Below are 27,207 nucleotides of genomic sequence, written 5' to 3' on the forward strand. Positions count from 1 at the left end.
CCTGCAGCTCTGGCAACATTACAATTACCTAGGAGGCTCTGAGAAATGCTGGTGCCCAGATGTCACTCCAGGCGAATGCAATCAGAAAAGGATGGCATCTGTACCTTTTAGAAGTTTCTCAGGTGATTCTGCCAAGTGGGGAGCCTGAGATCCACAGCTTTAGGGAAAAGAGAAATGACCTCTTTGCTCATTCCTTATGATATGATAGATTTTTAACATATCTATCTAAAAGTAAATTTATCTTTACCCAAGGTCTGTACAGTAAAAGGAAAAGTTAATGAGGTAACAAATAATGCAGAATGTCTCTCTGATCACAAGTCAAAATGTGGAAGTGGGTTTCACACATCAAAGGTGGGACTTCGTTCCTGGCACTGATCTCTATTTGAGCTCCTCTTTTGTAGCCTCTACAACAATTAGGTTAGCTCATGAATGCTAATGTATCCCACAGGGCACAGTAGATATACAGTATTGGCTAGAAAATGATTTGAAACTTTAACCTGGGATGCCAGAGGTTTGCCTCCCAGACCCCCGCTTGTCTCCTCTGCTCGGCCCCAGCTTGGCTGCAGCGCAGGCAACCTGAGCAGGACTCACCCTATCTCCCCTCTCCCTGGAAGAGAAACAGAAAGAGCGTGAAGATGATGGATGGAGGAAGGGAGAAGTGAATCAAGGTGCAAGAGTGAGAGCTGGTGAAGAGTCATGAAATATCTTGGAGAAAATTTTCTCAAATACCCTTTTTTCCTGGAGTTACTCAAACACAAGATGCATTTCTGGAGCCAGCCAAGAAACAGGCCCATGGAATTTTAAAAGTCAAGAAAACAAAAGAAATCCAGGCTTAGCCAGCCCATAGATTTGTGTATGGGCATGATACAAAGCATTAATGATACATTTGTTCTTTATGCCCCAAAATAAGAAGACTGATACACCATCAAGGAAAACCCCCAGAAAAGGGAAAAGCCTTACAATAGCAAATAAAAACAGCCCTACAAAACTAGCCTTTACCAAGTTCTAGGGACTGTCTCAGGATATCACATATACTACCTTGTTTAATTCTCACAGGAGCCTACAAGATGCATCCTTTCATTATCCTCAATTTGTAGGAGAAAGAACTCAGAGAGGCTGAGGAAACTTGCTCAAGGTTATATCACTAGTTAGGGGTGGAGCTGGGGTATGAACTCAGGCCACTGTTCCTAACCCTTGACACTACACTGTCTTGTGAGATGGACAATTCATAAAAGATAACAACATGAGTTTTTTTCCCTGAAAAGCTAAAAATTGCTTCCTTGAAAATAAAGATGCTAAGAGCCCATGCTAAGAATCACAGCCCATCCTAAGAAAGTATGTTCGGTGCAATTGAGTGTGGCAAATTATGGGGATTAACTTGAATTCTCTTTATATATCACAAAGGAAGTCATTAGCAGACTTTGGAACTCTGTTGTTAGTAACAAATGGCTTACACCCCAGCTCACTGCAACACCCCAGTGTGCTGTGATACCACCATGGCTGGGAACCATTGGCCTGGAAAACAGACCTAGGCAGAAAGATATTTATGTAACTGAGTTGAAGAAGGTAGCTGGAAGGTGCATCAAGCTAGACATTGGCAGTGTGTGTCAGGTGCTCCAGCTTAGGGCCTTCCTGGAAAATGGGCAGGAAAAATAGATGGTGACAAAGCAAACACATCAGTGTTGTGGGTGAGCCTGTAGAGATACGTTCTGGGGCATTCTGCTGCCTCCCAAGACTACATAAGTCCCAGGAGCCACAGCATTTGTTGCATAAGATTAAATCACTCCAAGCTGAGAATTTCCCCCTTTAAAGGAATAAATGGCAAGCCATGGGGGAAAGAATGAGCCAACTCTTCTAGGACATGTGTGCCTCCACTTAGGCATTTTGGTCCCTTGACCCTCCAAGACATTGATGTGACTTTGGCCAAGTCACTGGTTGTTACCAGGAGGGGATGAAATACATGTTTCCCTAAATCCCTTCCAACTCAAAAAATATGGGATACTTTGAATAAAACGAGATTGGTACAAAATTCTGATTACCTTTGAGAATGTCTAGCTCTGATTGCTAGATTTTCACTGCATATTTTCCTCTGGCCTTCAATTATCTCCCAATAATTTACCCCCAAATCTTTATTACTTCAAATGAATGGACTTTTCGTAGAGCCCTACTGCATCTCTAGTCCGCAGACACTAAGACATACATTAGCATTATTAAATTGTAAGCCAAAGACATATCTATATATCTAAATACTGTGTTTGCATACTTTCCCTGATCATTATGTACTTTTCCCCCATTCCATTACCACTTAAAATGCATTTTGTGATATTTCATTAAAGAGGCATAATTACATTAGAGAAGTTTGTTTTCAGACATCAACATGTGCCTTTGGGTTACATTTCAAATTATGAAGATGGACTTAAAAGAGATAACACCATTTAGTGTGCTAATTACCACAAGATTCTCAAAGTGCGCCAGAGCTCTAGGTGCTTTTGCTGTTTAAGAAATGTGACTGTAAGAACTTCCACTTATAAAGCTTAGCATGCATTGACTACCTACTATGGATTGGGCTTGATATTGAGGATAGAGAAGAACAAAACAAGTCTAGCAGAGCAGGAAAGTGTGTGTGTAAATACGTTGTAGCTGCCACCCTCTGGAGTGGCTCTCCGTTTCACCAAGAATCCCTTAGGCCCTCCCCAGCAGCACTCTTTCCCCTTCTATGCCCAGGAGCCTGCAGCACAATTGTGTTATGTGACATAGCCCTGAATGGATACTGGCCCCTGCACAACCAGGCAACATTGTTTCTCCCAAGAATTTGAACCTTTAGCTAAGAGTTTTAATTTAGCCTGGGCAAGCCTGGTGAATGACAGACTCAAAACTGAAGATTATGGAGCAGCCACTTCTGCTTGTCATGTTGGCTGAGAAGTAGAAATATAGAAATAATCAGTGTGCAGAGTAGAGTGCAGCAGACAGTGAGAAACAAGGATGGGGGAGGAAGAGAGAATGAATCATTAGATGACTGAATGAATCCTGGAGAGCCTTGCTTCCCGTCAGCTGTTGGTTCCAGACCCTCCAGCCGCATTCCAACACCCCAGTGCTTGAGGCCCCCCTACATTTCCTTTTTTGTGGTTTTAGCCTTGATTTTTTTTTCTTTGCAACCAAGAGTTCCAACTAATAAATGAGTGTAATAACTTGTCATTGGCATTGTAATGGAAGTGGGTACAGAACAAATTTTAACCTATCTTACTTATACAAATAGAGTACAGATGTCAATTGTACTTAATGATAAATAGGCCAATGACAACTCATTTTCGTTCTTAAATCCTTTCCACTATAAACATTTATACACAGCAACATTTGCAAGACATTGAGCCTTGGCAGTGAGTGTAACAAGACGCATAGCAATGGTGGGCAACCTTATTTTGATCAAGAGAAAATTAGGAAAAAGCAAAAATTACTTACAGGCTATATTTCTCTCTCATTCAAAATGGCTTTATTGTTGATCTTATGGGGAAAATTGTATTTTTGCAACTCAGGTGATTTATTTATTGAAGAGAAGAATGCCAACAAGAAAACTTTTTCGGCCTCTGAAAGATTATAACATGTTCCGGTTTAAGAATTTGAAACTTCAGACAGCTCTAATTGTCCATCTCTTATGTTTGGACTGCACCTTAATTTTCACCACACGAGTTCATCTGCATTAGCCCCAAGTATCATTCCATCCCCCCCACCAAAAAAAACTGGCCCATGAGGTATTATTATCCTCATTTAGAGGATATGGAGAAATTAAGTCTCTGTTTCAAAGCAAGTCTGTAAATTCTTTAACATTCTTCCCATCAAGAAGAGAGACCTATCTCCTGCCCTGGAACATGGGTAGCACTTTTGACTGTCGGCATGCATATAATATGGTGGAAGTGACACTGCTTGACTTGTGAAGCTGGATCACAATGGGTTATTGACTTCCACCAGCCTGTCTCCGGGGACAGGTGACTTCATGTAAGAAGTCCAGCTACCCTGACAGAGAGTCCACATGGAGGGAGCACACTGTAATAGACAGAGGTGCCTGAGGAGCCCCGGCTGTTCCAGCCGCCAGCTATTTAGGTCTTCCCAAGTCAGGCACCAGAGAGTATGAATGGACAGGCCTTCAAGAGAACTCTAGCCCCAGCCATTGTCTGATTGTCACTGCATGAGGACCAAAAACTGCCTAGCTGAGCCCCATCAACCCCTAAAGAAGTGAAAGATAGTAATGACAAATGCTTGCTGTTGTTTTATAGCACTAAGTTCTGAGTGGTTTGTTGTGCTGCAGGCTCCAAGAGAAGTAACTTTCTGAGATCACTCAGGAATTTCTTAGTGGAACTGGGGCTAGAATCAATTCGCTGCATTTAATGCAGTATTAACCAGACAACTGTGTTGGGCCCTGGGGACCAGAGAAGAATTAAGACACAGCCCAAGCCTTCCCCTGGTCTGAGCTTCCTCTTCCTGCCTTCATAGTCATGGCAGCTCCTTCTTGCTGGGAGTGGGATAGAGGAGCCCTAGGGCTGCTGGCTTCTGGAAGGAACTGGCTCCAGGGCACCCTGGCTATTCCGCTGCTCCATGCTGTGTGCAGGTGGCTCTGGCACCAAGAGGTGGCACCAAACCTGCTGCCAGCCTTGGCTTTCTCACCAGTCCTGCTCTGATGAATTGACAGGCTGTGTTTGGAATTGAGCATGGCGGTATTACAAAGGCAAGTGGGTACCACATAACCTGCCTGCAGTGTTGCTTTGTTCTGATGAATTACACCGAGTGCCTGGATTCACATTTGGCTGGATTGTCAGGAAAAATATGTGTTCTGGGTGCCAGCTGATCTTTTCATCTAGCTTCTGTCCTCAGGTAAACATTCCCTGTTAAAATTCTAAATTTCCATCTGCTTCCTCTAAAGAGATTGGTAAAAAGGCAAAAAACACCTAAGAATCAGTGTTACTTGTAATGAGCCCAGGGCTGCTGCAGGGGGCACCATATACATAGAATAGCAGGTGAGCGGGGTCCCCAGGGCTGAAGTATTATGCTCTAGGCCAGAAAAAGGATATTTTTTTTTTTTATTCCTGGGATACAGATAATGTATTTTCACATAACATCCACATGTTTCATGAATTAAGCCAACAAATATTTACCAAGCATCCTTTAAATCCTTTAGTATTTAAAGTATCATTTTTTGCAAAAAAATATATATATATATATGAGGCCCAACTTATTTTTGCCTGTCATGAAATCAAAGGCCAATTAAATAATCACTGCCAAATTTATATTCCTTTTTTATAGGTTTTGTTTATTCAAGGCATTCTTGTACAGTAAAGGGCAGGAAAAGGAGAGGGAGAGGGAAAGGGAGAAGAGGAAGAAGGAGGAAGGTGTGTGTGTTGGGAGTAGGGAGAAGCTTTGCAAATGGTAAACCTGGGTTATTATTTGACTTTTGGTTAAAAAAAAAAGTTGCATCAAATTAAGCAGTAAGCAATCATGAAGCAGGCAGTGACATGCATAGAGCAGATTTTCCTAAATCATCTTCCCCAGAACGCCAATTCGCTAAGATGTTAATAAGCATTTTCCAAATAAAGATTTTCATTTTTCAGATAAATTCAGGATCGGCTGCATCTCCACTCCTGGTGAGTGACAAATTCGTTTTAGCATGTTAAAGGCTCTGGAAAATGCTAGGGTAAAAGCAAAATGAAACACAAAACAAGAAGCTTGATTGACTTCCTTTAGCCTGGCACCCCCCAGATGCTAAACCTCTGTTATTGAAGTCGCTGAGGAACAGAGCCCATGGCACATGTGGAAAATCCTCTGCTGGATGAGGTGACTGTGCGATGGTCTCTGCTAGCTCCCTGCTAGGTCAGAGTGGAGCACTGGAGAAACACCAAACTCTTACCCAGGAGGGAAAAGGTCTGTTTCTCTGGCATCCTGCCTTTTGGTGGGGAGAAAAACTTCCAGTTTGAGTCTGAGGTGAAAATCGCTTTCCCGTTGCATCAAAGTCATGGAAACCCTGATGTGCCGTTATACCATTCAACATTCCCATCCCTGCAGTGCCTCAGGCTTTTGCAGTTTGCCCTCCTCATGCCCTTTACTGGATCATGACCTTCTTCCAGCTGCCATTCCATTTTCACAGTCATTTCCATGCCCCATTTGGCTAACTCACCACTCCCTCAAAATGAGATGCCCAGGTCAAAAAGCAGAGCTTTGCCCCATGTCCTTCCTGGAGCCTGGAGACTCCTGCCGAGTCCAGAGGGAGCAGCGAGCATGCCAGAGAAGGGCCCCTGCTAGGGACTGCTTCTGCTGTGAACATTTGGGTCCTGTTCCTGTGCTTTCCCACACCTCTCCCAGATGCTGCCGCAACCTTTACATGAATGCTCAGCCTGTTTCCTCCTGTCTCAAATGTCCTTATTTCAGGGTTGGGATAAAGAGTAAAAAAATACGTTTAGAGTATTAAGCCTAGTGCCTGCCTGCAATAGGTGCTCAACAAATAGATGCTATTACTGATCATCACTATTCTTGCCTTATCTTCCCAAAGCGTCTTCATACTGAGAATACAAATGAGGTCAGGTTAACAGGACCAATTTAAATCTCACTGACTGCTTGGCCTCATTTGCATCTGCAGACCTTCACACCTCCTCCACCTGTAAGCTCCAGGCCAGTATTTCTGGGACTCTCCGGAGGGTGTCTCATGGGTATGTAAGAACAAGCCCACTCTCTGTGCCACGCAAGCCTGCTCATGGCTCACTTGTCACCAGAATGCCCGCCACCAGCTGTCACAGCTGCATGGGGTGCAGGAGTGAGGCCCTGGCTCCACCTGGCACAGCAACTCCATGTTGGTGGTTATGGCCTGTGTGCCACCCATCTGCTCTTCTGTCCTAAGAACAGACTGTGCTGTGGTCTCTGAGCAGCCAGCTTTTTGTGTTACTGGCTGTTGGACGGGGGCCGAGTAGGGCTCCTTGAGACCTCCCATGTTAGAATTTACTGACAGAGTTTTTCTTTTTGGAATTCTCACCTTTTTCCTCCTTAGGAAAGGAGCTGGCCTAGGGACGGGATGAGTCACTTCCTTCACAGGGAGCTTGGAGTCTCTGCTGTCTTCACCACTGAAAGCTTTGTTGTCAGGTCCAGCGTCTTGCTCTGGCACCACCTCATGTGGGAGGTGTTCTCCCCTGGTGCTCTATTCCGTTCCTTACAAGAAGTCAGCCCCCATAGTGGGCCCAGACTGAGTCCTCTTCCAGGAGGCTCTTCTGCCTGTGCAAAGGGGCCACCGCCAGCCCAGCCCTTAGTGCGCTGGTCTCAGTCTCAGTGGCCCCACCATGGTGCTGCCCTATGGGAGCAAACTCTCCCTCATCTCCATCCTCCTCACAGCACTAGCCACTGTGGTGACCATGGGTCCTACCCGATCCTGCTGGTGACTCCCTGCCACCATTGCCAGGACACAGCTCTTTCTGGCCCAGAGTGACAATTCTGGCAAATTTAACTTGATATTGGCTATCCAAGGACAAGTATATGGTGAGCACTAAGCACCAGGCATTGTGTGTAGCTTCTGGCTCTCATAGATTTGTTAGGATTCCCCTGTAATGGCGGTGGTGGTGACAGGAGCTTACTCTACCCTGGGCAGGAACCAGGCTGCAAACCCAAGTCTGGCTAAATCAAAGTCCAGGCTTCCTAGAGACTCACTGTCTCTTTGTTCCTTACTGGAATCTTTGCTCTTATCCTCACACCTGTGCCACGCAAAGCCCCTCAGGAGCTAGGCTGATCATGACTGGACCCCGCACAGTCACCCAGCATGCTCCTCCCCATTGCCTCTAAGCTGGCCAGGACCCTGGGGGACTTTCCCCATGCACTACCCTGACACCTTTCTGGGGCACTGTAGTAACTATCCACAGCCCCTCCTGGAGTGTGTCTCTTCATCCTGAGGTCTAAAATCCTGATAATCTCCCCCAGTGAACCTGCAGTTTCTCCGAGGGGCCAGGTCCTCTGAGGACATGGGTCCCCTGGTGACTGCCTTGCCATTACTGGACCTTCTCAGATGAGGGTGCAGACCACATCCCATGATCCCCAAGGAGCATTAGCCCAGAGGAAACACCTGATCAATCCCTGCCAATTTACGCTAAAAGCCACCATTTAAAAACAAAAACAAAAACAAAACCCTCATCAGGATGACCTCCTATACCACAAAACCTTGCCCTCAGCAGAACTCTCTATAGGTCTCAAAGGTGACAGTACGAAGCACTGCTGGAAATTCCCACTCTCCTAGCATCCTATTTATTGATCACATAGCTGCCTCCCGGGGGTAGAACCACTGGGAAATGTGTATGAACAGCACTCATCAACCATCACGTTTTTATTTGGCATTAGCTCCATGCCCAGTGAAGTGCCAGTTACAGACTGAGATTCATTTAAAAAATAGAAAGCATGGTCCTGTAAATAATTTGCAATTAACCAGGGAGATACACTTATACTGGAGAATTGAAGAACAGCTACAAGTACGCACCGTAAGTAGGAAAGTCCTACAGCTTCCCTGGCTTCCTCCCACTCTCAGCCCTGCAAGCTCACCCAAGCCGAGCAGCCCACTGGCTGTACCTCAAACGTGCCAAGCGACTCCTGCCTCAGGGGCTTCTCCTGGTTATTCCTGTGCCCTGGAAAAACCTTCCGCCAGACCTTCCCAATACTCCCTGCCTCACTTCCATCCATTCTCTGCTTCAATTCCCCTTCGCAGAGAGGCCTCCCTGGTCACTGTCTCTAAAACAGTTCCTCCTCTTACTCACTCTTCTTACTTTGCTTTAGTGTAGCACTTGTCACTACCAGATCTCCCACTTGTTATTTACTTGTTTTTTTGTGTGTATTAACTACATATGTATTTCAGTTGAAAGGTCTGTTCAAAACTTTGATCCTTTTTGAAATTTCCTTGGTTTTTATTGTTGCATTTTAGAGTTTTTGAGTTTATTCTGTTTTGTTTACTGTTGTATCTCCAGAGTCTTGAATAGCACCTGCCACAAAGGAAGCTATTTCCTGAGGAAATGAGGGAATAAATGAAGGGATGGATAAATGAATGAATGAATGAGACAGACTATGCCTCGTGGTAGGATTTATATAAAATAAGAATAATATAAAAATAATGCAATTTTATATTTGCATATCACTCATTCCATATATGTGATTGTGAGATGTATCCCATCTGTGTGGTGTGTGTCTGTGGGTATGTATGTGTGAGTGGTGAGTTTGTGCATGCTGTTTATGTGGATCTAGCCAATTGACCACTGTGCAGGAGGAAGAACTCAGACCTTGGAGTCAGAGGAATCTGGCTTCACATCCCTGCTTGCTCACTTGTTAACTATATGACAGTAAGTATGTTTCTCGACTTTTCCAAACCTGGGTTTATTCACGTTAACATGGGGATAAAAGTACCTCTTTCATAGATTTGTTATGGGGGTGAAATGAGACAACATACAACATACTTAAGACACTCTACAAATGAGAAATGCTTAGAAAAAACTTTTTTATATGTATGCTTTTCTTTTGATTTCCTAATTTTTAATTTACATAAGGTAATATTCACTGATTTTAGTGTATAGTTGTATGATTTTGGATCCCAATCAAGTTTTGTTTTTTTTTTTTTGGAGATGGAGTCTCGCTCTGTCGCCGAGGCTGGAGTGCAGTGGCACAATCTCGGCTCACTGCAGGCTCCGCCTCCCGGGTTCATGCCATTCTCCTGCCTCAGCCTCCCAAGTAGCTGGGACTACAGGTGCCTGCCACCATGCCTGGCTAATTTTTTTGTATTTTTAGTAGAGACGGGGTTTCACTGTGTTAGCCAGGATGGTCTTGATCTCCTGACCTCGTGATCTGCCTGCCTCAGCCTCCCACAGTGCTGGGATTACAGGTGTGAGCCACCACGCCTGGGCCCCAATCAAGTTTTATGACCCCAAAGTGTTCCTTCTAACTGTCCCCCATTTGGGGCAACTTCTCTCACTCCAAACTCTTGGCAACCACTGATTTGTTCTTCTTTCCTGTAGTTTTGCCTTTTCCAGGGTAGCGTGTAAATGGATTACCATATGTAGCTTTTTGAGCCTAGCTTCTTAAATTTAGCATAATGAATTTGAGAATCTTCCATGTTGCATGTATCAATAGTTTGTTCCTTTTTATGGTTGAATTTGCTTATTCATTGTGTATCCATTCACTAAAGGACATTTAAGTTGTTTCCAGCTTTGGGTGATTATGGATAAAGCTGCTATATTACATTTGCATAATGGTTTTATATGAACATAAGTTTTCATTTTTTTGGATAAGTACCTTAAAATGAGATTGCTGGATCAGATCGTAAGTGTGTATTTAAGTTTCTTATAAGAAACTACCAAACTGTTGTTCAAATGTTCCAGTGGCCTGAATCCTCACTAATACATTGTACTGTCATATTGTGTTTAAACTTTAGCCTCCTAATTGGCAGGTAGTGGTTTCAGTTTGTATTTCCCTGATGACTATTGATGTTGACTGTCTTTCCATGCGCTTACTTGCCATACATATGTATTTTAGTTGAAGTGTCTGTTCAAAATGTTGATTCTTTAAAAAATTTCCTTGTGTTTTTATTGTTGCATTTTAGAGTTCTTTTTATATTCTGGATACAAGTCTTTTGTCATATATGTAATTCACAGATGGTTTTTTCCTGGTCTGTGGCTTTTCTTTGCATTATTTTGACAATGTCATTTGCAAAGCAAATTCTTAATTTTTAATGAATTCTAATTTACCAATTTTTTTCCTTGAAAGTATTGTTTTGGTGTTATTAATATAAGAATTTTTGCCTAATTTAGGGATGTAATAATTTTCTCCTATATTTTCCTTTAAAAGTTTATAGTTTTACATTTTATACTTAGCTCTATGATTCATTTTGCATTAATTTTGTTAAAAAGACTATCCTTTCTCCACTGAATTACCTTTGTATGTTTTTAGAAATTCAGTTGACCATATTTATATAGGTCTATTTCTGGACTTTATTTTATTTGATTGACTTAGGTGTTTATCCTTTTGCCAATATCACGCTTGATTACACTAACTTGAAATAAAGTGGTATGAGTTTTCCAACTTTGCTCTTTTTCAAATTTGTTTTGCTATTCTCATTCTTTTGCTTTACCCTATATACTTTAGAATCAGCTTGCCAATATATATAAATAATTTTGTGGAGATTTTGATTATGATTGCATTGAACCTATAGATAAATTTGGGGAGAATTGACATCTTATGAATATCCCATAAACACAGTATATCTTCCCATTTATTTGGCCTTTCTTTGGGATTTTTTTTTTTAAATCAGGGTTTATAACATATAGATCCTGCGGATATTGCATTTACTCTCAATATTTTATTTTATGGCACTATTATAAATGGCATAATGTAAAAGTTCAATAAAATTATTTATTGGTAGTATATAGAAATACATTTGTTTTTTTTTTGTTTTTTTTTGTTTTTTTTGTTTTTTTTTGAGATGGAGTCTTGCTCTGTTGCCTAGCCTGGAGTGCAGTGGCATGATCTTGGCTCACTGCAACCTCTGCCTCCTGGGTTCAAGTGATTATCGTGCCTCAGCCTCCCGAGTATCTGGGATTACAGGTGTGTGCCAGCACGCCTGGCTAAGTTTTTCTATTTTTAGTAGAGATGGGGTTTCACAATGTTAGCCTGGCTGGTCTCGAACTCCTGACCTCAAGTGATCTGCCTGCCTCAGCCTCCCAAAGTGATGGGATTATAGGTGTGAGCCACCATGCCTGGCCAAAATTAATTTTTATATATTGATCTTTTTAGTCAATTTGATTATGAGCTCTAGAGCTTTCTTAGAGATTCCTTGGAATTTTCTACATAATGCCTTTTATTTCTTTTTCTGGCCTTATTGCACTGGCTAGGCCTTCCAGAACAATGTTGTAAAAAAGTGGTAAGAGCAAAAGTCTTTCTCTTGTTTCCTATTTTAGGGGAATGCAGTCTTTTTCCATTAAGTGTGAAATCAACTATACAGTTTTTTCTACATGCCCTTTATCAGTTTAAAAAAAATTTCCTTCCATTATTAGTTTGCTGAGAATTTGTATCATGAATAGATATTGAAAATTTCAAATGTGTTTTCTGTATCTACTGAAGCAATCGTGGTTTTCCTTCTTAACCTGTTAATATAGTTAATTATATTGATTGACTTTCAAATGTTGAACCAGCCTTACATTCCCAAGATAAATCCTGCTTAGTCATGGTACATTATCCTTTGTTAATATTGCTGGAATAGATTCACTAAAATTTTGTTCAGAATTACTTCACCTATGTTCATAAGGGATATTGGTCTGGTTTTAATGCTGGTCTAATTCTAGCCTAATAAAATGGGTTGTGAAGTATTTCCTTCTTTTTCTATTTTTGAGAAAAGATTATATAGATTTGTTACTTCTTCCTTAAATGTTTGGGAGAATTACTCAGTAAAACCATCTGGACGTCGAGTTTTCTTTTTTGAAGTATTTTAACTACAAATTCAATTTCTCTAATAGATATGAGACAAATCAAGTTATCTAATTTCTTCACCAAGCTTTGGTAGTTTGTATGTTTCAAGGAATTAGTCCATTTAATTCCTGATTTAACCCTGATTTAAACACAAATTTGTGGTAATACAGTCATTTGTTTTTCTGTAGTGATATCCACTCTTCCATTCCTGATATTGATAGCTTTTGTCTTCTCTCTCTCTCTCCTTCTTGCTTAGTATAACTAGAGATTTATGCATTTTATTGATATTTTCATTGGCTTTGTCTATTGTTTTTCTGCTTTCATTTTCACTGACTTTTGTTTTTATTTTTGTTAATTCATTTTCTCTGCTTGCTTTGGGTTTAGTTTGTTCTTTTTTCTTTTTTTTGTTGTTTGTTTGTTTTATGGAGTTTCATTCTTAGCATCTAGGCTGGAGTGCAATAGCACAATCTTGGCTCAACTGCAATCTCCGCCTCCCAGGTTCAATAGATTCTTCTGCCTCAGCCTCCCCAGTAGCTGGGATTACAGGCGCCTGCCATCACACCCAGCTAATTTTTTGTATTTTTAGTAGAGAAGGTGTTTCACCATGTTGGCCTGGCTGGTCTCAAACTCCTGACTTCAGGTGATCCACCCGCCTCGGCCTCCCAAAGTTCTGGGATTACAGGGGTGAACCACCGTGCTCAGCTGTTTGTTCTTTTTTTCTAATGTCTCACTGTGGAAGCTTAAGTTATTGATTTGAGACTTCCTTTTCTAATATGAGCATTTAGTGCTATAATTTTCTTCTCTCTAAGCACTTCCACAATTTTTTATAAATTGTATTTTTATTATTAATTATTTTAAAATATTTTATTATTTCCCTTGAAACTTACTTGACCAATGCGTTATTTAGAACTTTGTTGTTTAAATTCCAAATGTTTAGGTATTTTCTAGATATCCTTGATTTTTTATTTTTTTCTTTAACCATTTATGGTCATACATATTATTGTCAACATATTTGGTATGATTTCAATTATTTTAAAATTGTTAAGGTTTATTTAATGGTTCAGAATGTGTCCTCTATAGGTACTTGAAAAGAATGTGTTTTGCTGTTTTGGAGTGGGTTGGCACCTGTTAGTGGTTTTTCCCTTGACTACTGGTCACATTTTCCTGGTTCTTTGTATGTTAAGTAGTTTCGGATTGTATTTTAGACAATCTGATATTATGTTGTGAGACTCTGAGTCCTGTTAAAATCCTCTAGAGAATATTGATTCTCCATAATGACCACCCTGTTATGCAGTTCCACACAACTGGAGAGACAAAGAGAACAAAAACAAAAATTTTCCCCCATCCACTTGGGATGTTAGGGAACTCTTTTGAAGATCCTCTGACAAGAGAGACAGTGGTTTGTTTGTTTGCTTTCTCAGTGTTTCAGGTGTTCATGCCACAACTGCTGCAGAGAAGCTCTAGACTGTGGCCACTCCTCGCTTAGAGATAGGAGGAAAAAAGAGGGGAAAAACAGAAAGAAAAAAAGCCTTGGAATATATTCTACACTTTTCAGCTTACAGAGGTCTCTGTATCTGTTTGGTTCAACAAAGGAGATTTCTCTGAGTTTTGATGTCTGCTCCTACTGCTCAGTTCCATAATTAGGGCCATTTTCATTTCAAAGCAGTGAGATACAAAAGCAAAAATAACTCAGGATTCTCATCCTAATACTGGTTTTTCTTCAAATTTTGACTTTCAAACTATCTTCTGGTGTTTACTTTTCAGAGTCCTTAAATAGTTTCTTTCTGTATTCATTTTTAGCTGTAATCTGTGAGAGAGACAGGCTATAGAGGGCTGACTTTATCTTGGCCGGCAATGGCGGTCTCAGTAATATTTAACATCTAATAATTATTGAATTCCATGTACAACTCGCATCTCCTATCCTACCCTCTTTAGGAGGGCTTTTAAGAATGCTGGATAGTGGGAATTTTAGAGACATTGTGGGATGACTTCTGTTTTCACTGGGAGAGGTGGAAACAGCTTTGTTAGGTAAGCGTTTTCTGGCATCTACTTGGGACTCATTTGCATATTGGTAGCTTCAACCTCACACAAATCATGTTGATCCGGTATCCCATTTTTATGTTCACACTCTGGAAACATGTACTACTACTGCCACCTATATCTACAATACTTAGTGTAATTGCTGGTTTATATGTCTGTCTCCTCCTTGAGGTTCCTTAAGGACAGAGAATGTTCTCTGCCTTCTGAGCTCCTAGCACAAATTCTGGCACATAGAAGGAACATAATAATTTTTTTAAAATTTGTGACCTTGCTTTAAAATTGAATTTCATACTCTTGGAATGAGGGATAACATTTTTCTTGTCTTAAACAAGTATGATAAAAATACCCAACACATCTCTGAGAACCATCTTGTAATTGCAGCCATCTCATGCCTGAGAAAGGTAAACACTACACACAGGAGTATCATGGAGTGGCCACACTGTGTCTTCTCTGCTTCAGAGATAGGTAAATCAAGGCATGGGAAAGTCAGGTGTCTTTGTATTCAAACTCAGATTATTAAGCACCTCAAAGAAACTGAAATGGAGAATCTGTGTCAACTCTTTCTTAGAATGGCAGTTCTGATCTCAATTTCCTTCAACTGCGTAATAGAATACACAACTCAGTATCTATTTACACATCACTGCTTTTTCTTTTTGCATTAAGACATCATTTTAGAATAGGTTTTCTGACTTTCTCTGTGTCTCTGACTGCATTAACTACCAAAAGCGTGGCTGAGCCACACTTCACTGACATCATCGTGCTCCCAGCTCAAATCATTTTCATCCTATTGTGAAGCAAAAGCCTTAAAAATGCTCTTTAGTTTTTTTATTTTTTTTATTTTTAAAGGGCATTTACATCCAGCCATTTTATGAGTGCAGTCAAGGCAATTTCATGTTATCTTCCAAGACTTTTACACACTTGGAGAGCCTGGCAAAATGCATTCGAGATGTTTGAGCAAGAGGTCCCATCAGTCATTCACCTGCATGTTTTAAATTGAGTGCCTGCCCTGTCCGGCTGAACGCTCCATTCATCGAATTGCCTGGAACAGCTCCATGGCCCTCAGGAGCCTCATGCACATCTCACACTGTTGCAAAATTGCCTTCAGACAGGATTCTGATTTCCGTCAGAGAATTTTAAATTCCAGCTAATGGAATGCTTTGAAGGCATGTGCCACAGACTTCTGCCCAGTGCAAGTCCTGTGTGTGAGCAAATCTAGCAGGGACTCCAGAGCCTGGACAGCAGAAAGCTGCACTTCCTCAAGAGGATGCAGGATCCTCTCACTTTCCCAGTTATCCTACAGCTGACTAGTCAGCTGAGGGATTCACCTGGCGTCTGTATCTCCCCACTAGCTTCTTACTGTGGGAAGAGAAAGAATAGGATCCTGCTGGGAGCCAGGAGTCCCTGGGTTTAATTAATGGCCTTTTGGCTTTCTTCCCTTCCCCTCTCCACTGTGTGCACTGGTGGACACTGGTCCCCATCCCTGAGGTTCAGTCCTGCCCTGGATTCCAGGTCTACACCAAGCCCGAGAAGGTTCTGGATGAGAAGAGCTGAGTAATTTGCTTGGTCAACAATTTTTGAAACAATGCTTGAGATAACCTTTGGAATCTGGGTTCTTCAACTACACGGTTTCTGTCTTACTTTTCTCTTGCAGGAGGGTCAGTGCTTTCATTCCCAGCCAGCTATTCCTTGTTCTTCATGTCCTCTACCACCTAGTCCCAAATATACAATGAGAACTCCTGGATCTCTTAGTTTCTAGGTGTCTAGTTCTACTTCCCTTTAAATTAATGACTTCCATCCAGGACACAGTGGTTTTGTTTGATTGTATTAATGGATTAGACAGGCCCAAATCTAATGGCAAGCTTTGCCCCTGTCTAGTTGGAGGGCCTTAAGAAAGGCACTTGACATCTCTGAGACCCAATTTTCTCATCTGCAAAACAGTTTTACTAAGATGTCCTGAAGATTAAATTATATAATATATAAAGAGTCTAGGAAAGAGTAAGCCTGTAAATGATGGCTATTATTATTATTTTTACTAGTGTTTGACTATCCATTTCCTCCATGACTGTTGCCTGGGTTTCCAGTGCTCTTCAGACTTATTTTTCTTTGATCACACATCAGTGAGTCCATGGCTAAATGAGTCTATCTTTGGCTCAACTCTCACATTCAGATATATTCTATGCTTTCACCTGAACTTGGGGATCCTCCATGGATTACTGGTCCTACCTCAATTATTTTTCCTGCTTGTTCTCTGCCTTATTTGTCCTTCTACTTCCTGAGCCCCTAATTTATTCATGTGAAAAAGCAAAATTGCACAATGTAAATTCTATGAGAACAGCTTCACTCTAAGGTAAATTATAATGTCTTGTCTTATTCAGGAAATGACTGGATGTTGATGTTCATGTATATCATCTACTAAAATGATAGAATGAATGCTTTAGACACTCTAGAAATAGTTTGTTCTATTTTTCTCTACTTGACTGATGATCTCTTGGGATCAGAACAGATATTCACAATATTAAAACTATAGTAAATGGTTTTGTGGTTGTAACCAATGACAAATAATTTTTTCTTTTTGAATCTGACATCCTCCACATCTACTCTCTGGGATGGAAATGTCTTTAGTGATACTGCCAAAAGAAGCATCAGAGAGAGATTAGATAGAGATGACCTTTCCATGAATTTTAAGAGGAAGACTCTGATATGGTTTGACTTTGTGTCCCCACTGAAATCTCATCTTGAATTGTAATCCTCAGGTGCCAAGGGAAGAACCTGGTGGGAGGTGATTGGATCTTGGGGGTGGTTTCCCCCATCCTATTCTCATGATAGTTGTCACAAGAGCTGATGGTTTTAAAGTGTGGTACTTCCTGACGCTTGCTCTCGCTCACTCGCTTTCTGTCTCTCTCTCTCTCTTGCAGTCTCTCTCTCTCTCTCTGTTGCCTGCCGCAGGTAAGATGTGCCTTGCTTCCCCTTCACCTTCTACCATGATTGTAAGTTTCCTGAGGCCTCCCCAGCCATGCAGAACTATGAGTCAATTAAACCTCCTTTCTTTATAAATACTCAGTCTCTGGTGGTATTCTTCATAGCAGTGTGAAAACGGACTAAAACAGAGAATTGGTACCAAGGTAGTGTGGTACTGCTATAAAGATAACTTGAGAACGTGGAAGCAACTTTGGAACTGGATAACAGGCAGAAGTTGGAACAGTTTGGAAGGCTCAGATGAAGACAAGAGGATGAATGAAAGTTTGGAACTTCCTACAGACTTGTTGAATTGTTTTGACCAAAATGCTAATAGTGATATATGATATAGACAATGAAGTCCGGGCTGAGATGGTCTCAGATGGAAATGAGGAACCTATTGGGAGCTGGAGTAAAGGTCACTCTTACTATGCTTTAGCAAAGAGCCTGGCAGCATTTTGCACCTGCTCCGGAGATCTATGGAACTTTGAACTTAAGAGAGATGATTTAGGGTGTCTGGCAGAAGAAATTTCTAAGCAGCAAAGCATTCAAGAGGTAATCTGGTTGATTCTGAAAGCGTTCAGTTACATGCGCTCACAAAGAGATGGTTTGAAATTGGAACTTACATTTAAAAGGGAAGCAGAGCATAAAGATTTGGAAAATGTACAGCCTGACTATGTGGTAGAAATTTTTCTGGGAAGAAATTCAAGCCAGCTGCAGAAATTTGCATAAGTAACAAGGAGCCAAATGTTAATCACCAAGACAATGGGATAAATGTCTCCAGGGCATTTCAGAGATCTTCAAAGTAGCCCATCCCATCACAGGCCCAAAAGCCTAAGAGGGAAAATGTCCTCAGGGCCCTGGGCCCTGCTGCTCTGTGCAGCCTTGGGACATGGCGTCCTGCATCCCAGCCACTCCAGCTCCAGCTGTGGCTAAGAGGGGCCAAGGTACAGCTCAGGGCATTGCTTCAGAGAATGCAAGCCCCAAAACCTTGGCAGCTTCCACATGATGTTGGGCCTGTGAGTATTCAGAAGACAAGAGTTGAGCTTTCAGAACCTCCATCTGGATTTCAGAGGATGTGTGGAAAAGCAGGCAGAAGTCTGCTAGAGGGGTGGAGCCCTTATAGAGAACCTCTGTTAGGCAGTGCAGAAGGGAAATGTGGGGTTGGAGCGCCCATACAGAGTCTCCACTGAGGTACTGCCTTGTGGAGCTGTGAGAAAAGGGCTACTATCCTCCAGACCCCAGAAAGGTAGATCCACCAACAGCTTGCACCTTGCACCTGAAAAAGCCACAGGCATTCAATGCCATCCCATGAAAGCAGCTGGAGGGGCTGTACCCTGCTAAGCCACAGGGGTGGAGCTGCCCAAGGCCATGGGAACCCACCCCTTGCATTAGCGTGCCCTGGGTGAGACATGGAGTCAAAGGAGATCATTTTGGAGCTTTAAGATTTAATGACTGCCCGGCTGGGTTTTAGATTTTCATGTGGCCTGTGGGCCCTTTATTTTGGCCAATTTCTCCCATTTGGATGGGAATACTTACCCAATGGCTGTACCGCTACTGTATCTTTTTTTTTCTTTTTGAGATGGAGTCTCCCTCTGTCACCCAGGCTGGAGTGCACTGGTGTGATCTCGGTTCACTGCAACCTCTAACTCCCACATTCAAGCAGTTCTCCTGCCTCAGCCTCCTAAGTAGCTGGGACTATAAGCGCCGGCCACCACACCCAGCTAATTTTTGTATCTTTAGTAGAGATGGGGTTTCACCATGTTGGGTAGGCTGGTCTTGAACTCCTGACCTCAGGTGATCCACCTGCCTCGGCCTCCCAAAGTGCTGGGATCACAGGTGTGAGCCACTGCACCTGGCCCCCTATTGTATCTTGGAAGTAACTAACTTGCTTTTGATTTTACAGACTCATAGGTAGAAGGAACTTGCCTTGTCTTAGATGAGACTCTGGACTTGGACTTTCAGGTTAATACTGGAATGAGTTAAGACTTTAAGACTCTTGGGAGGGAATGGTTGGTTTTGAAACTTGAAAGGGACATGAAATTTTGGAGGGGCCAGGGGTGAAATAATATGGTTTGTCTCTGTGTCCCCACCAAAATCTCATTTCAAATTGTAATCCTCAGATGTCAAGGGAGGAACCTGGTGGGAAGTGATTGGATCATGGAGGTGGTTTCCCCCATGCTGTTCTCATGATAGTGAGTGAGTTCTCATGAGAGCTGATGGTTTTAAAGTGTGGCACTTCCTGGTTCGTTCTCTCTCTCTCTCTCTCTCTCTCTCTCTGTCTCACCTGCTGCTGTGTAAGATGTGCCTTGTCTTCCACCATGATTGTGAATTTCCTGAGGGCCCCCCAGCCATGCAGAACTGTGAGTCAATTAAACCTCCTTTCTTTATAAATTACCCAGTCTCTGTTGGCATTCTTTATATCAGTGTGAAAGCAGACTAATACAGACTCCTTCCCTGGACACTAGAACCATGATGGCATTAGGGATGGAGTTATTAATGCATAATAGCAGAAAGCTCTTTACCTCAACATTATAAAGATAATAAAGGTATAGTTAACAATGATTGTACACACATTGTAGATTCCATTACAGTATTAAATTGAGCAATAGTGTTTGCAGCAAACTATGGGCATTATTCTTTAATTTCCCCTCCCATTAAATTATTCTTTAATTTCCCCTCCCATTAAAGGAGAGGGTGGTCTCTTTTCAGGTAAGGATTGCTCATCTTTTTCTTCTGCATGCCTCATGCCATGCATGCCCCATGCAGGTGTAAGCTAGATGGCATTCTGTATGTCAGGACCATTTTTCATTACTGCAAAATACTCAAACTAAGTTTTAAAGAAAAGAATTTCTATCCTATGCATTGCTATAAGGCTTTTTATTCCAACATATGGTATTAAATACGAGTTATGTGCTCAACTGTGAATTTATATGAAAAGGAGATTAGGACACAACAGGCATAGAGGAAAGATCATGTGAAGACACAGGGAGAAAACACTTATCTGCAAATCAAGAGGAAAGATCCCAGAAGATACTAACCCTCCTGATAGATACCTTGATCTCCGACACCTGTCTGTGGTACTTGATGATGGCACCCTAGCAAACTAACATAATTGTGATGAAACACAGAGGCCCAAGAGTGGCCTTTGTGTTTCATTTCAGTGCTCTATGTTCTGGCCAATTGTCTGTCATCTTCCTTTGTGCGTGAATGAGTCCCCTGTGGGCAAAAGCAGAGGCCACCCGTGGAGACATACCTAGATGGGTGGCAGGCAGACAACCACTATCTGTCATCTACCCAACCACCACTTATGTCCTTTTCCCTCCACATCCCTCTTCTTTCAAAATCCCTCCCCTCCTACTCACCTTCTTCAGGTAGCAGGAGTGGGAGGTAGGAAAAAGCAATAGACTTATTAATGTTAAAGATCCAAGCTGCAAACCTTTGCTTCTGATTAGCTTTTTGGTTTCAGACTCTTTCTCTAGGCAAAATTTTCTCAAAATTATCTGCTACAGGAATTCAGAGAAACATTTAAAACTCTAAAAGTAGACCGATACCACCACCTTCCCCATCCTCCACCCAGCCAGCCTGTGACAGTAGGTAAAATCTGTATACCCAACACCAATTCCCTTGATGGTATTTGGATCCATTTCCAATTGAGAAGCAGTCATCTATCCTTTTTCATTAGCTTCGCCTTCACTGGTGAGAAGTTAGTGGGAAGTAAAGACTCTGGAGGCCTGGAGTTGTTGGGTTTTAAAATTTTATGCCTGGAGGGTAAGTCCACTCTAGTAAATGTGAAGTTATTTTTAAACTTAAAGCCATGGAATACCACTACATTATAGTAACCAGCTATTTTGCAGTATAACCTACATTCATTCATGTATTGTTTGTATGAATGTTCTGTTTCCAGCATAATGGCTTTTAAAAATTAAAGATATAAATTAGCTATTATTAGAGAAACAGCACAATAGTAAAACTCCCATAAATTGGCATAAGAAAATATTAATAATAGACTCTAGAGGGGACAGTCTCTAAAGAATAAACAAACCATTGAGTAGAGAACAGAAATCCCACCCAACCAGTAAGTGCTCTATGCTGATCTTCAAACAATGGGTTCCTGGGTCTTAGCAATAACAACAAAAACAACTCACCACTAACCCAGTGCTTACTGAATCTCATATGCTTTACATGTATTACTTTATTTTTTTTTCCAAATGTCACTTTTGAAGAAGATACCTTTAATATTTCCACTTTACAGATGATGAAATTTTAAAGTGTTATATAAATTGCCCAGCTAGTAAATGGTAGAGCAGGGATTCAAACCCAGCCTTAATATATATACTATTATTTTGATCCCCAGAGCACTCAATATAGTGTTGGGTACTTTTAAAAGAACTAAGAAAATGTTGAGCCATATGGGGGATGATTCAGCCATATTGTAGGGACAGAAAACAGTAAAAGTGACCCAAATACCCTATCTTTAAAATTTTTCTATGTTTTAACCATTTATTTTCCACATTATTCTTTTGTGCAATGTTTGCTGAGCATCTGCTATGTTCCAGGTACGGTGTCGGGTGGAAAACAGGAATAAATAATATACAAACCCTTTTATTAAGTAATTCAGAGTTCAATGAAAGACTTCAAAGGAAAACAGATCATTTTTAAATGATCGAACTATGTGACAGGTGGAGTGGCATTAGCAGAGCACAGAGGGGATGGTCAGGACTGGCTGCTGGCAGGAGGGGACATCTGAGCAGGTGAGAGGCAGGGGTGTGGGAGGAAGACATGTAAGACCTTAACAGGCAAGGGTACAGTGTGAGCACTGGCAGGAAAAAGAGTTGCTGGAAATTTCCAGCAATTCATTGTTGCTGAAGCAGAACGTGTGATGCCGGGCGGGTCCCTGATCGTGGAGTGGAGGAGGGATGCAAAGCATGGAGACCCTTTTAAGGCACCAGAGGAGGGAGAGAGATTGAACAAATAGGAGAGGTGGGTGGGTGAGGGAGAGAAGAGCCACTGAGATCATCACAACTCAAACAAAACTAAAATGTAGTGCATGTCCTTGAGTTCTCTTGCTTTCTCCCATTTTCCATGAAAACGTGCAAACTAGCACCTTAACACTTTTTGTAATTTCATGACAAATGCTATCATATTTCATAGCCAGCAGATGGCACTAAGTATACATAAAATGAACATTTTGCACACTCACTTTTTTTTTTTCTCTTGAGACAGTCTCACTCTGTTGCCCACGCTGCAGTGCAGTGGCGCAATCGTGTTTCTCTGCATCCTGGGCTCCAGCGATCCTCCTGCCTCAGCTTCCCGAGTAGCTGGGACCACAAGCGCCTACCTCCTACTTATTTTAAAAGAGTTCAATCCAGGCTCTACTGTTCCCAAGGGACTTTTCTCCATACTAGGAACTCTAAAATCTGACAATGGTTTGGATCTGTGAGATAGAAAAGGCATCTTATAGGTACAGGGTCCTGTCTTCTGCCAGGGTCTACTGTGCTGCAGTCTCAGAGGGATATCATCAGGGGATCCCAGTAAGGTTGTAAAATGAATAATGATCTTGGTGGCACCACACCATCTCTGTGTAGTGAGGAAAACTTATGTAAAACTGGAACGGGTGAAGGGGTGAAACTAGGAAGGTGTCATAGCTGTTAGAGGATGGGGAGCAGGACTGGGTGGGTAAAGCCTTCAGCTGTGAGGCCCGTTGACATCTATGAAAGAGGAAGAAAGCGGGAGAGCCTCCAGCTGCAAAGGACGGCTGACCAGGGCTTGGCTTGCTCAGTGAGCAGCTTCAGAGCAAAGATTGCCTGATGAAGCAGTTCAGCATTGGGCTGAAACAGCCAGGCCCTACAGTACCCTTCTCATCTGGTTTGGCTCTGTCCCCACCCAAAATCTCATCTTGAATTGTAATCCCCATAATACCCACATGTCAAGGGAGAGGCCAGGTGGATGTAATTGAATCATGGGGGTGTTTTCTCCCATGCTGTTCTCGTGGTAGTGAGTTCTCACGAGAGCTGATGATTTTGTAAGTGTTTGGTAGTTTCTCCTGCGCTCATTTCTCCCTCCTGCCACCTTGTGAAGAAGGTGGCTTGCTTCCCCTTCACCTTCTGCCATGATTGTAAGTTTCCTCAGGCCTCCCCAGCCATGCTGAACTGTGAGTCAATTAAACCTCTTACCTTTATAAATTACCCAGTTTTGGGTATTTCCTTATAGCAATGTGAGAACAGACTAGTATATCTTCCTTGCTCAGTCATTGGCTGGGGGTTACCCAGGAAGAATGTGACCCAGAGTGAATGCCATGCACATGCTGATGGCGCTACAGTTGAAGGCTGTCAGTTACCTCTGCTCCCTGCAGCTGGACAGCAGGTTCTCAGAGGAGTACCCTAAAGGTGGTGTACTTTTGTGGCTGCCACACCATCCTTGTTAAAGAAATAACTCTCATGTATGATCTCCATTGTATTTCTTAGGTCTGTATGAAGCTGTGTAAACAGTCTTGCTCTTTTCAATAGCTGAGGTGCTTTTTAAATAAAATTCATAGGTTCTTGGATATGATTCAATCCAGTATAGTCTGTGAACTGGCTTTGCAGCTTCATCTGAATAATCTCAATATTTACATATGAGTTATATGTATCTCTTGGAAGAAAATTTTAAAAGTAAAAGCCATTATCTATATGGGCTCAAAGGATATGAAAGAATTTTAATCTCAGAAAAGCACAATAAGGAAGTCAATATCTATTTTAATCTCAGGCAAGCATACTAAAGAAGTCAGTAGCTGCAAAAGCTCCTCAAAAAATTATTCTAAGTCAAATATAAATAATCTTATTTGCTCTTTTGGATTATGAATACATCATAGCTTTTTTATTAACATCCAATTCAAAGTTGGCCTATTGTCTGGTGGTATTAAAGTGGATCACATGTGTAGCCCTTAATAATGCACATTGACATGGAACACTTGGCTTGATCCTCGTAATTCTATGAGGTAGGTATTATCACCTATGTACAGATGAAGAAACACATCCTGAGAGATGTGAATTTTAATGCAATTTCTATGAATGACATCTTTTTTTCAAAATCCTATGAAACACAATCTGGTAATTTTTAAGACACCGTACCACTCTTTCCTTACACCATATACAAAAATCAACTCAAGATGGATGAAAGATTTGAATGTAAAACTTAAAACTATCAAAACCCTAGAAGAAAACAAGAAAGGCCATGGACATATGCCTTGGCAAAGACTTCATGATGAAGATGCCAAGAGCAATTGCGGCAAAAACGAAAATTGACAAATGGGATCTAATAAAACTAAAGAGCTTCTGCACAGTAAAAGAAACTATCAACAGAGTAAACATACAACCTACAGAATGGAGGAAAACACCTGCAAGCTATGCATCTGACAAAGGTCTAATATCCAGCACCTATAAGGAACTTAAATCAACAAGCAAAAACAAACAACCTCATTAAAAATGGGCAAAAAGTGTGAACAGACACTTCTCAAAAGAAGACGTGCATGTAGGCAACAAGCATATGAAAAAATGTTCACCATCACTAATCATTAGAGAAATGCAAATCAAGACCACAGTAAGATACCATCTCACACCAGTCAGAATAGCTATGATGAAAAAGTAAAAAAAAAAAAAAAAAAAAAAAAAGATGCTGGTGAAGTTGTGGAGAAGAGAACACTTATACACTGCTGGTGGAAATGTAAACCAGTTTGGCCACTGTGGAAAGCAGTTTGGAGATTTTTCAAAGAATTCAAAATAGAGCTATCATTCAACCCAGCAATCCCATTACTGGATATATACCCAAAGGAATATAAATTGTTCTACCATAAAAACACATATACATGTATGTTCATTGCAGCATTATTCACAATAGCAAAGACATGGAATCAACCTAAATGCTCATCAATGGCAGAATGGATAAAGAAAATGTGGTACATATATACCATGGAATACTGTACAGCCATATAAAAAAATGAGATCACATCCTCTGCAGCAACATGGATGGAGCTGGAGGCCAGTATCCTAAGTGAACTAACACAGAACAGAAAACCAAATACTGTATGTGCTCCCTATAAGTAGGAGCTAAACACTGAGCCCACATGGACAAAAAGAAGGGAATAATAGGCACCAGGGCCTACTTGAGGGTGGAGGGTTGGAGGAGAGCGAGGACTGAGAAAATACCTATCAGGTACGATGCTTATTACCTGGGTGACAAAATAATCTGTACACCAAACCCCATGACATGCAATTTACCTATATAACAAACCTGCAAATGTACTCCTGCACCTAAAATAGAAGTTGGAAGGAAAAAAATACATTGCACAAATGGAAACAATAAAATCTACAATTTGAACATTTATTTGAATAGCTGGACGTGTCATCAGAACAACTCTTGATGCTTATTTAGGCTCCCAGAGTTACCTAAAGAGAACATGAGGTTTAAGAACCACTGATGAGGAATCAAAGCCCTACTTTGAAGAGTATAAATATATATTAAGCATTATATACATATATACACACACATTTTAAAGAATTATAAAATGAACACTTGTATACTTAACACCAAGGAATTGAATATTAACATTGAAGCACCCAGGGCTTCTCCTGTATTGCATTCTTTCCTAGAAGTGATCACCAGCCTATGTTTTGAATTAATTATGCCTATGCTTTCGCTGTTTTGCCACACTATATCTTCTATAATATTGTCTTGTTTGCTTTTAGGCCCTATGTAAATGGCATATATATTGACATGCACACACATCCCCTTTGATGACTTAGTTTTTTAACAGTCTATTTGACATTGGTTCCCACTGATGCTTGTCACTGTAGATCACATTCATTCCTTTACAATATTACGTTGTATGGAAATATCCATTTTATCCATTCTGTTGGTGGGCCTTTGAGTTGTTTTCAGCTTTTTTTCCTCAGGTACAAATAATGCTTCCATGAAGATTCTTGTAATTGGTTTCCTTGGTATATTTGTAACAACATTTCTTTAGGGTGACACTATAAATTGCAGAGACTACATACTTTAAAACTTATTAGGAATTAACAACTTATTTTCTAAGGTGGCTGTACCAATTTACACTCCTACTATAATTTCATGAGAGTTCTTGTGGCACCCTGTCCTCACCAATTCTTATCTGAATGTAAATATTACCATGTGGTTTTAATCTGTATTTCCCTATTTTCTTCTAAGACTTTAAACATTTTACTTTCATTTAAGTCCTTGACCCATTTAAATTTGACTTTTGTGCATGAAGTTATATATATATACCTGTCCTTTTGAAAATGTCCTTATATTTCTCTTATTAAGAATTTTCAAAGATTTTTCTTTCCCCTTATCTCAATCCCCATCCTTTATGAACAGACTCGATGAATTAAAGAATATGAACCCATACAGAGCTTCAGAGACATACACTTTCTAAAGAATATGGTGAGTTTTTCTGGACATAGAACAAATACAAATGAGAATAATAACAAATACTATTTTGGGCCTCACAAATTAGCAAAATATATTCTTAATAAGGCTAATTAATCCCAGTGAGAGTGTTGTAAAATGAGCATTGTTATACACACTAACTTTTGGTGGTGCATACAATCCAAAAGGTGCACACATACCTTTGCAAAGGTAATTTGAGGCTAACTGCATTGAAGGCTTTAAGGGTGTCCACAGTTTTTTTAAGGAAATTTAACTTTATGAAATCTTTCCTATGGAAATAACTTTAAAATCATAAAGTATGCACTA

The 27,207-nt window shown here is 41.0% G+C and overlaps 1 long non-coding RNA gene across 2 annotated transcripts in view, besides 2 other annotated features; it reads left to right on the top strand.

Moving 5' to 3' along the window:
* LOC105375228 (uncharacterized) overlaps positions 1-27,207 on the top strand; it is a 74,297-nt gene that overhangs the window by 14,171 nt on the left and 32,919 nt on the right. Inside the window, exon 1 of one of the 2 annotated variants that reach the window (XR_001745164.3) lies at positions 19,877-26,895. The exons of the other annotated variant lie outside the window; for it this stretch is intronic. This is a non-coding gene — a long non-coding RNA (uncharacterized LOC105375228). Of the gene's footprint in view, positions 1-19,876; positions 26,896-27,207 lie in introns of those variants that run through there. 2 annotated transcript variants of the gene reach the window in all.
* Positions 6,288-7,025: an enhancer, noted in NCBI's record as "H3K4me1 hESC enhancer chr7:35096856-35097593 (GRCh37/hg19 assembly coordinates)". NCBI's record gives its function as "activates a minimal SCP1, AML or CMV promoter by ChIP-STARR-seq in primed H9 embryonic stem cells {active_cell/tissue: H9 hESC(primed)}" and the evidence as "EXISTENCE:reporter gene assay evidence [ECO:0000049][PMID:30033119]".
* Positions 7,026-7,762: an enhancer, noted in NCBI's record as "H3K4me1 hESC enhancer chr7:35097594-35098330 (GRCh37/hg19 assembly coordinates)". NCBI's record gives its function as "activates a minimal SCP1, AML or CMV promoter by ChIP-STARR-seq in naive H9 embryonic stem cells {active_cell/tissue: H9 hESC(naive)}" and the evidence as "EXISTENCE:reporter gene assay evidence [ECO:0000049][PMID:30033119]".

Source organism: Homo sapiens, chromosome 7 (genome assembly GCF_000001405.40).
Source record: "Homo sapiens chromosome 7, GRCh38.p14 Primary Assembly".
NCBI classification, from domain to species: Eukaryota; Metazoa; Chordata; class Mammalia; order Primates; family Hominidae; genus Homo; species Homo sapiens.